The sequence below is a fragment of the Homo sapiens genome, chromosome 2 (assembly GCF_000001405.40).
Source record: "Homo sapiens chromosome 2, GRCh38.p14 Primary Assembly".
NCBI lineage: Eukaryota > Metazoa > Chordata > Mammalia > Primates > Hominidae > Homo > Homo sapiens.
Window position 1 is genome coordinate 185,566,946 of NC_000002.12, and position 11,876 is coordinate 185,578,821.

The 11,876-nt window shown below is 34.4% G+C and overlaps 1 annotated feature.

Moving 5' to 3' along the window:
• Nucleotides 775–1,974: an enhancer, noted in NCBI's record as "MED14-independent group 3 enhancer chr2:186432447-186433646 (GRCh37/hg19 assembly coordinates)". NCBI's record gives its function as "activates an origin of replication core promoter dependent on BRD2, BRD4, P300/CBP and CDK7 cofactors, and independent of MED14, by STARR-seq in HCT116 cells {active_cell/tissue: HCT116}" and the evidence as "EXISTENCE:reporter gene assay evidence [ECO:0000049][PMID:35650434]".

An 11,876-nucleotide genomic window follows, 5' to 3' on the forward strand; every position in this document is an offset into this window, starting at 1 on the left:
CCCAATCAATGCTGTTCGTTAAATTAGATATACATATGGAAAAAAGATGATCACTTACAGATACACTGAAAATAATGTTTGATGAATTATATAATTAAACAATAAAGCTTTTAGAAGATAAATAATAAAACGAGGAAGCCAAGAATTTCTTAAACAAGACACAAAAAGTACTAATAATAAATTTGATAAATTAGTTTAAAATGAAAAATGTGTCTTCATCAAAAGTAAATAATAAGAGACTAAAAAGTCAAGCCAGGAAATTGAATATGTTTACAGTACATATGTTAAACAGACCACTCTTATCCAGAATATATAAATAACTGTTAAAGCAGTAAAAAAGTATAGAGAGAACATCTGGTGGGAAAAAATGGGCTAAAGACTTAAACAGGTATTTCAAAAAAGAGCTGTCTGGGTACGGTGACTCACTCCTGTAATCCAAGCACTTTGAGAGGCCAAGGCAGGTAGTTCACTTGAGGTAAGGAGTTTGAGAACAGCCTGGTTAACATGACAAAACCCTGTCTCTACAAAAAATACAAAAATTAGTAGGTGTGGGGGCTTGTGCCTGTAATCCCAGCTACTTGGGAGGCTGTGGCAGGAGAATAGCTTGAACCCCGGAGGCAGAGGTTGCAGTGAGCCATAATTGTGCCACTGCACACCAGCCTGGGCAACAGAGTGAGAAACTGTCCACCCCCCACCAAAAAAAAAAAAAAAAAAAAGAGCCAAACAAAGGAATAGATGGTCGGCATTATCAGTTATCAGGGAAATGAAAACAAAAATTATGAGATACCATTATCTACCCACGACAATGGCCAAAATTACAAAAACAAAATATTAAGAAACTAAAAACAACAAAGAAACCAGAACCAACATATGCGAGGCTGTGAATACTAACAATCACACACTGCCAGTGGAGATATAAATTAGTATTGCAGAATTTTGTTCCTTAGTTCAGCTAAAACCCAGGTTCTTGTCACATGATCAGAAAATTTAGGCACACACATTGAAGGATGAGTAGAGCAGGGTTTTATTTGGTGAAAAAGAAAAAAGAAAAAGTCTCAGCAAAACGACATGGTAGTCCTGTTAACAGGTCCTCGACCTCATAGACTGAATCCCAAGCCACCACAAAGGAACTAAAGCGATCAGACTCCCCGGAACTCCAAGGCGCGAAATTCCCTGTGGCTCCACCCACTTTCCCCAGTGCACATGTCGGGCTCCAGTCTGCTGTGGGCATGCCCAGACAAGCCCTGGGCAGGTTTCCTCATCTGCACAAAAGCACCTGATGTAAACCCTTGTGGAGCAGGTCGGAGATTCTCTGGGTACCCCCTTTTTATCTGCCTAGTCATTTGGCTGTCTCATTAGTATCATCACTTTGCTTAAAGACAGTGAAATACATTTTGATAGCAAATATAACAGAAAGAAGCAGAAGACCAATAACATTAAAAATATGTTCCTGCATGTAGAAAAATTTATTTACACATGTACTGTGAATGGATATTATCCATCATGTGATTTTTTTTTAAAAGGCTGCAAACATCATCTAGTTAACATCAAAAAATAATTTACTTCAGTTATAAACATCCAAATGCAGGAAATTTCAAGGTTTATTTATAATTGTTTTAATATTGAATTGCTGACATATGTTCAATGAAACACTTTTACTTGGATTGTATGTCCCGGAAATGATATTAAATATCCTCATGCAAATAAAAATAATAAAGAAAACCTAGTAAAAACCTGATTCTGTCCTCTAGTTTCAACCCAATGGGAAAAAAATACCTAGTGTTTATAATTACCAATAAATAATTCACAACAAAATGTATGTTTCCCATCAAATTGAACCATAAGCAGCACTTATGTGTAATGTTTCTAAATGTTAGGGGACATAATTATATATTTTGCGTGGATAGAAGTCAGGTGAATATTTTTTAACAGATCAGACTGTTAGGCTTCACTTGTTCCTGCACATTACAAGTAGCTGCATTAAGGAAGCACAGTTATCTTTTGAAGACCTGTACAATTGTTTGCATCAGAGGCTAGAGAGTTTATAAAAATCAGAAGTTTTGGAAAAGTTTGATAATTCCTGATATAATAATTGTGTCATTGTACTAAGGTTTCTTCATGTTTCTAATAGCAGACTGTGAAAGGAAAATAAATCTTGGGGGCACCAAATCACTAAGCTAAATGGAAAAGTCAAGCTGGGAGCTGCTTAGGGCCAACCTGCCTCCCATTCTATTCAAAGTCACCCCTCTGCTCACTGAGATAAATGCATATCTGACCACCTACTTTGGAGAGGCTAATCAGAAACTCCAAAGAATGCAACCATTTGTCTCTTATCTATCTATAACCAGGAAGCCGCTTCCCCACTTTGAGTCTTCCTGACTTTACTTCAAGTTTCACTGCCTTTCCAGACTGAACCAATGCTCATCTTGCATATGTTGATTGATGTCTTATGTCTCCCTAGAATGTATAAAACCAAACTGTGCTCTCACAACTTTGGGCACATGTCATCAGAACCTCCTGAGGCTTTGTTATAGGCATGCGTTGTCAACCTTAGCAAAATAAACTTTCTAAATTAACTGAGACCTGTCGCAGATTTTCAGGGTTCACAAGAAAAACTCTTGCAAAGAACTTTTGTAGCTAACTGCTTTGCAGGCAGTTGGCTTGGCCCATGGTATGAATAACCCACTTGCTTCCCATGTCTTTTTTCTTTGGCTACAGAAGTAGAGGTGCTGCTGGTACTTGAGAGTGACTGCCACCACAGAGGCAGCAGCTAAAAGTGTAGGTACAATCACTTCTAAAAGTGATTTGGCAACACAATCTAATGTTAATAACCAAACATGGTTTAGCAAAACCAATATGCAAAACTAGAAGCAATCCAAATGTCTACTCATCAGGAGAGTTGATAAAGTGTAGTGTATATACTACAAAGTGATACCATACAGCAATGAAAGAGAAGCATACTGTTGGTATATGTATCGTGTATTGATGGATGAATCCTGCAAGCATCAAGTTGAGTAGATGAAGCCAAACACAAGAGAGTATATCCTTTATTATTGCATTTAATTAAAGGTCAGAAATAGGTAAAATTAATCTTTATTTCAATTTGTTTTTCACTTTTAAAAACACTCACTGTTGTCTAATGTATTAGTATTCTATCCAATGGTACTAAAATGTTAAGCAGCTATTTTATGTGTGTTTGTAAAACGAAAGTGATCATCTGACCTAAAAAGGTGTTACAAATTTAACTTAATCTGCAGTTCTCTCAATATCAGCACAGCTAGAATGTTCTCTGTAATTTTCATTTTTTAAGTGTGATGTAAGCAGATATAAAAATATTTATTATTTCATAAAATAAATAGACACTTTTAAGTATTTTTGAAAACATTTTAAAACAGATATCAAATTTAAAAATAGAATCATTAAGGAGTGTACATCTGTCTTAGTGGTCAAAATGGCTTGTCTATTATAAGGTATTTGTTATCCAAACACAAAGATCATTTAATTATATTTCTACAAATTTAAAAAGCATATTATGAAGACTTTTGGAAAACTTATTTTCACTATTTAAATAACATTCACCCTTGATTTCAAATGGCAACAATGCTTAGCAGACAAGCAAAATAAAATAGTTCTGCTTATAAAATGATGACAAGAGAAAAAATATTAATTTATAAGGAAATAAATTATTTAGACATTTTAAAACAGTCTCAAAGATTTCTAGGTTGTGATCTTGTGGTAGTTTTCTTACTCCTTAGTTTGGCTAGATCCAAGTACTTGTCCCATGAGCAAGAAAAATAAGGCACATAGACACCGGAGAGTAAGTAAGGCAGAGTAGTTAAATGACAGAAAAGCTCTCAACAACCAGAGGGGACCCAATAGTGGGTTGCCAGAAATGGGGCTGAGCTCTGGGACTTCTATGTGACAAAAACAAGGAAGTCATCTGTGGGTTCTGCCCTAATGAGAGGGGTATAGTTCCCCCTTGGGGATGTTGCATCTGAGCATGTCTGGGGTTGGCCATAGGGACTCCATCTTGGTTATTATCCATGAGTGCCTAAGTGAAACCCACAGAGGTGGCAGGCAAAACTGTGGTGAACCAAATACTAATGATATTGCAATTAGCTCTGGATCAAGTTAAGGATATTTAGTTGATTTATTGTGCCTGTACTGAAGTTGGAACAGTCCCTTCTAAGCAAACATCCTGGCATAAGAGGAAGTTCTTAACTACATTTCCTCCCACTAGCTACCTAACAGGAATGGTGCAGGTGTGGTTCCATGGGTGTTTTTTCTCTTCCAAGGCCCTCCATTTCTATCTTCTTAGTTGGACTCTAAATGCCTCCTCTATCAAACTCAAAGATTCCATTTCTTTAGAACAATCTCATGTAGCAGTATGCTTTTACTTAAATGTTCTCAATTGAGTATTGTTTCTTTCATATTTATTAACTTCATTCAGAATTTTTTCTCATTACTTTGAAGAGCTTTCAGTTACATTTAAAAAATTACCGAAGGAATTTTCACCATTTTCACCATACAAGCATAACAAAAAAAATTTATAAAAGCTTACATGTGTATTCCAAAAAAACATACTCAATATTAAATAGTTTTGCAAACAATGGATTATCTATACTCATAAATAGCACCTTAAACATTGACTATAACTAATTGCTATTGATGTTTCTGAAATATTTTCTTAAAGATGTCTCCCAAAATTGTTTAGAATTTCTTAAAATCTGCTATTATTTCATTAGATAATTTTGCTTTTTCTATTCCTGAAAGGAGATGGGAGGCAGTAGATATTGAAATTTGTAGTCTCTTTTATAGTAAATCTTCTAAGAAAGTTGTTAAAGTATGAAATAGTGATTATATACTTCTTAAACCTTTCACATTTACAATACTATGATAGACTGATAAAGCGTTTTACTTTAGAGAAACTATCAAATATCAAGCTTATACAGCATTAATTTTGCAAAATTATATGCTCTCAATAATGAATTGTTGAAAGGTTACAATGTGCAAGGCAGTGTGTTAACACTAAAAGTAAAAAGCATAATGAGACATATTTAATGATCCTTAGGAACTTTCAATCTCATGGAAGGTACAGATGTATTAAAAAGTTATTATAATGTAGTCTTATAAAATCAATCCTGTAGAATGTTAAGAAAGGTAATGACACATAATATAATATGGAGTCAGAAAGTCTTCCTGGGAAAGAGAGCATACAAACAGAGATTTAAAAGGAAAGTAGGGTCTACGTAGGCAAATCACACAGACAATTGTAAGTAATTTTTAGCTGTGAGACAGAATAAGAAAAGATGCAGTGGCAACAAATTGATAGTATGTTGTGTAAAATATATAATTTGAGTTATTTCTGAAATTTAAACTAAAAACCAGGAAGTAGCAAGAGATTATACTGGAGCGATAGGTAGAAATCAAATCATGAAAGCTTTATGTTTCATATATAATATTTTGACTTTAATCTTGTAGACAATTCAGAGGCATTGAGTGTTTTACTAAACAATAGAAAAGATATAATCAGATTTAAATATTAAATGGATTGCTTTGATTGCTGAATAGATTGATTTGAGGAAAGTATTGCAGAATTAAGACACTTCTTAGGAAGCAGTTGAATTTGTCCAGATGGATGGAAACCTGATCTACAGTAGTAATTTGGCTGATAGAACACAGAGAATGCAATTAAAAAATAATTACAAAATGAACTTGTAGTGTTTTTTATTATTAGATTGTGGAAAGAAATTATCAAACTTTTAAACTTGATATCTGAAATGGCTTTGCAATATTTTTAGTTAAGAACATTATTATAGGCCGGGCACAGTGGCTCACGCTTGTAATCCCAGCACTTTGGGAGGCCGAGGCGGGCAGATCACAAGGTCAGGAGATCGAGACCATCCTGGCTAACATGGTGAAACCCCATCTCTACTAAAAATACAACAAATTAGCCGGGCGTGGGGGCAGGTGCCTGTAGTCCCAGCTACTTGGGAGGCTGAGGCAGGAGAATGGTGTGAACCTGGGAGGCAGAGCTTGCAGTGAGCCAAGATTGCACCACTGCACTCCAGCCTGGGCGACAGAGCAAGACTCCATCTCAAAAAAAAAAAAAAAAACAAAGAACATTATTATAAATTATGCTGTGAAGATAGAATGTAATCACCAATTCATTTGTCAAGACTTAAAATAATCAAAGTTCTAAAGACACTTTAGAGTCATTCTGAAATATTTTTCCATTACATTTTTCTGAAATCTGCTTGGGCATTGGGATGGTTATAATTCAACTATGTGAATGAAATAACTGACATAAGGCATATCGACAAATACATTTATAATAAATGTGTCAAAGTGGAGTGCCAATATATGCATGTATTCGTAAACCAAATTGCATTCATTTGCTCACTTATTAACAATTATTGATTAAATACTTAATGTAAGCAAGACATGTAAGTATTGTGCAGAACTTTGTGTTCTCAGATATGTTAAAATCTATATGAATCTATAAGAATATAAAATCAATACAAATATAAAAAGCAAATTTACCAATTAGGCTCATGAGATCAGTTTCACAGAGATGATTCTAAAACTATTTGCCGGCCAGGCGTGGTGGCTGACGCCTGTAATCTCAGCACTTTGGGAGGCCCAGGCAGGTGGATCACGAGGTCAGGAGATCGAGACCATCCTGGCTAACATGGTGAAACCCCGTCTCTACTAAAAATACAATAAATTAGCCAAGCATGGTGGCGGGCACCTGTAGTCCCAGCTACTCGGGAGGCTGAGGCAGGAGAATGGCATGAACCCGGGAGGCGGAGCTTGCAGTGAGTAGAGATGGCGGTGCCACTTCACTCCAGCCTGGGCAACGAGCGAGACTCCGTCTCAAAAAAAAAAAAAGAAAGAAAAAAAACTATTTGCTTATATTTTTACCTTTTCTACATTTTGTGGATTATGTCAGGTAAACACAGTCAATTTTATGCTGTATTTGAGCCAGCCATATGTTTATTTGATTTTTTTCACTTTAATCTGTTTTATTAAGATTCATAAGGGATTATTTAAAGAATTTATTGTAAATAACTTTTAAATGTATAATGCATATTTTGAAGCTATATTTAAATTTGTTAAGTGTAAATTTAAAATTATTCAATATTTCAATTATACTAACACTTTTCTGATTATAAAATGTCTCTATCTCTAGTAATGATTTTAACTCATATTTAATTTTGTTACATTATTAAGGTTATGGAATGTTATTTCCTTTACATTGACATGAAACATGAATATTAAAATTTTTTCACTTCCAACATTTCTTTGTCCTTATATTTTACATATCTCTCTTTTATGTAGCCTGCAGACAGACACTTTCCCCACAATTAAATGTGAGAAGCATAGTCTTTTTATTGTAGCATTTGGTTTACATCTCATCTAATCACTGATGTTATTTAACATTTATAATTCCACTTTTTACTTTAGATGACATCTGGAGTAGAAGTAGGTTGTGTAAAAGCAACCAATAATTAAAATGAGTAAACGATGATTCTTTGTGAGTTTTAGTTTACTCTTGTATCTTACTTTGAGTAGCCCCAGAAGCAGAACCTGAGACATTGTTGTAAGTACAAGTAATAAATTTTTTTAGGGTGGTGATTCCAGGAAATATGAGTAGGGTGATGGCATTGTGAGAGTGGTAAAGAAAATCTATGGAATATAATTTTGACAAAACCTAAATAACCCTGCCAGTCTCTGAATTTCTTGTTTATTGGGAAGATTATATGAGATAATTCCTTATTTTCCACAGTTTGAAGAATGTCTCTGATAAAAATTTATCCATGTAATTACCAGTTTTCACAGATTGAGCAGAAAAATGAATTTTAGCTACATTTGCCAGTCACCTTCTATTTGTTTATTATGATTTCAGTGTACATTCACACAAAATTGTGGCATGGAAACATATAGTCTACTGTAATACTACACAAAAGTTTCAGCTTGCTAGAATAATATTCCAATAATGTTAAGTAGATATTAGATTCAATAACCAAGAGCAAATGAGTACATCGCACAGATGATAAACTACTTCCTTAGAGGAGGAAAGTCAAGAGGAGTTAACTATATTGACACATATGCCTGGCTAGACTCCAAAATTGGAATGAAAAAGAAATTGGCCAGGTATACAATAGCATACCAATCTCTTTGACCTGTTAAACTTCCATGTCATGTATCTGATGCAATTAGAGGAGCCACCATGTTTAATCCTCAGGTGTCCATTGGCAACCTTTAGGAACCTCTGTTTAATACACTGGCCATGTAGAACAATTTTAAAAATGAAGTCAATTAACCTACTTTTATCATTTCCATAATCAAAGCAGTGATTTTTTTGGTAACCTTTTAAGATTACTGTATGTATAGTTGACTCCCTGGGAGTGAATGGTTAAGTCCACATTTAGCATAGTCAATTAAAATTGAGCAAAAGCAAGATTTAATCAATTTGCCTGGAATAGGGCAAAAGCAATCTTAAAAATGTCATAGAACACACAAGTCCACTTTACCTAAACCATTGCAAAAAAGACCAAGATCCCCAATAAGAGGTGAAGGTTGGAGAATGACTGAAGTGAGATTTTAGACTCTCGGTCAATATTTTTCACATTTTAAGCTTCAATAGAGATGGCAATTCCAGTTCCCTGTTCAAGTACTTTTGTTGTTACTATTCTAAATCTTGATCCTTGAAATTAAAACTAAAGGCATCCAGATTAGAGCAGATAAAATACATTTGTTCCTGGCTATAAAAAGTGGTTATATGGGCCAGGTGTAGTGGCTCACACCTGTAATCCCAGCACATTGGGAGGCCAAGGTGGGCAGATTGCCTGAGGTCAGGAGTTCGAGGCCAGCCTGGCCAACATGATAAAAACCCGTCTTTATTAAAAATACAAAAATTAGCCAGGCGTGGTGGCAGGCGCCTGTAGTCCCAGCTACTTGGGAGGCTGAGGCAGGAGAATTGCTTGAACCCGGGAGGTGGAGGTTACAGTGAGTCAAGATTGCACCACTGCACTCCAGCCTGAGCTACAGAGCAGACTCTGTCTAAAAAAAAAAAAAAAAAAAAAAAAAAGAAAGAAAGAAAAAGAAAGTGGTTATGTGCCAGAGTGTATTCTTCTTGGAGCAATAGTTCAGTATTCACTAGCTCATTGTTGGTGGTGACTTCATGGAAACTCTCTTTATTAACAAGAATTGACTGTACTTGGCAAAAAAAGCTTAGTCCAGTTAAATAATTATTCAGCTTCTTACAATGCTTTTAAAACTTTAGTTTTGCTAAAAATGACCAGGGGAATTTATTGGTATCATAGTTTCTCAGGACCCATTCTCAGATAATTTGATTTGATAGAACTAAGATGGAAATAAGAATCTATGTTTTGCTGACATAATGAGTAATTCAGGTGCAGGCAATCTACTCTTTGAGAAACACTACGTGACAATGGAAATGCCGCTATTCTCAATTTACTAAGGATATTTTTTATTTGTTATAAATCAAACCTGTTGAAACTACCAGTTAGATCAACATTTTGAAGCACCAATATTTCAAAAATATTCCTGAGTCACTCAGTCTACTTAGTCACAGTAAGACACAGATTTTCTCTCCCTAAATTCCATAGTCTTTTTGAAAAAATTTCAATAGTTTTTTGGGGAACATGTGCTGTATTGTTAGATGGATAAGTTCTTTAGTGGTGATTTCTAAGATTTTGGTGAGCCCATCACCCAAGCAGTGTATACTGTACACAATGTGTAGTCTTTTGTCCCTCAGCCCCCTCCCACCATTTACCTCAAGTCCCCAAAGACCACTGTATCATTCTTATGCCTTTGCATTCTCATAGCTTAGCTCCCATTACAAAAGAGAATATACAATATTTGGTTTTCCATTCCTGAGTTACTTTACACAGAATAATGGTCTCCGACTCCATCCAGGTTGCTGTGAATGCCATTATTTCAGTCCTCCTTATGGCTGAGTAGTATTCCATGGCATATAAATACCACATTTTCTTTATCCACTCATTGACTGATGGGCATTTGGGCTGGTTTTATATTTTTGCAATTGCAAATTGTGCTGCTATAAACATGCCCGTGAAAGTGTCTTTTTCATATAATGACTTCTTTTCCTCTAGGTAGATACCCAGTAGTGAAGTTGCTGGATTTTATGGTATATCTACATTTAGTTCTTTAAGGAATCTCCATGTTGTTTTCCATAGTGGTTGTAATAGTTTACATTACCACCAGCAATGTAAAAGCGTTCCCTTTTCAATATCACTAATTATCAGGGAAATGCAAACCGCAATGTGATACCATATTACTCCCACAAGAATGGCCACAATTTTAAAATAAAAAAAATAGTATTTTAAAAGACTGTAGTAACATACTGATCTCCTTTTCAAAAGCTGTGGTTGAAACGGATTAATTGCTCCTAACATGTTTGAAATGGTTATGGAAAGGGGATATGTTGATCAAAGGATACAAGTTTTAGTTAGACTGGAGGAATAGGTTTTAGTGATCTTTTGCACTTCATCATGACACAGTTAATAATGTAGTATGTATTTCAAAACTGCTGAATTAATAGATTTTTAATGTTCTCACCACACACAAAAAAATGTTAAATTGGTAAGGTGGTGGATGTGTTAATTAGCTTAATTTAATCTTTTTCTAATGTATACATAGATCAAAACATCACATTGTGCCCCATAAATATATATAACTATTATTTGTCAAATAAAAATAAATAAGCTTATTTTTAAAAATAAGTCTGGTAATTATTCAGCCATATCATTTTCTGAATTATTCCTTTTATGTAGGTAGCAACCTGACCAAGGATTGGTTTCAAGGCTGTGTATTAATTTCTCTGAATCAAAAGTAGAGAGACTTGTAAATTTAAATTGATATATGAATATATAAATAATATTATATATAAATTATTGGCTTTCTTATTTAGGTGATATTCATATGCAACTAAAGTTCCAATTATGGTTGAACAGTTTTATAGGATTAAAACAGTTTTATAAATTAACACAGCTTTATAGATGCTAATGTAAAGATGTTTAAAATGATACAGTTTTTTCTAAATGTTTTTATTGTTAGCTATATTTTTATGGATGAAATAAAATTAGTATGTTAATGTCAGCATCAATTAAAATACTTGGTTTTTATATATCTTTTTATTTAATGTAAGCATTCAGTTGGAGGTTAGTGCTCAATGTCATAATGTACACATGCTGGGATTTCAGTGATAGAATAAAATTGTGACTGTTTTGCTATATATATTTATATATGCTATATATATTATAGCATAATATTTTGATTGATTATCTAGGTTAGGGAGTAATTTAGTATTTTCCTTTGTCATGCATTTTGGATACAACTCGTTCACATTTGCTGATCACATTTCTGCAAGGACTTTCAACCATCTGTGCTCTGTAGTTGCTCAAAATGTTAAACCCAAAGGGAAATAAATGACAATAATCATTAACATGAAGCAACAATAAAGGATCTAAATTTGCAAGCTCAGGCTTTGCCTACAGTTTATGATTAATGAAGGCAAACACATACTGAAAGCTGATTATGTGTTTCATTTTATGTGACGCCTAAGGGGCTGTAGCTTAAGAGAAACAGTATTGGAATCCCTCAAATCTCAGTACAAGTTCAATTTGTTTTCCCACTCGCATTGATTTTTAGATAGTCCTCAGTAAACTGAATCAGCAATAACTCTTGCACTACAGTGTATGTTAAGCAATTTGAATATTTTCTGAGAAATGTGTCTATAGATGATTTCATTATTGTGCAAATGTCATAGAGTGTACTTACACAAAACACCTAGGCTATAGGGTATAGCCTATTGCTCTTAGGCTACA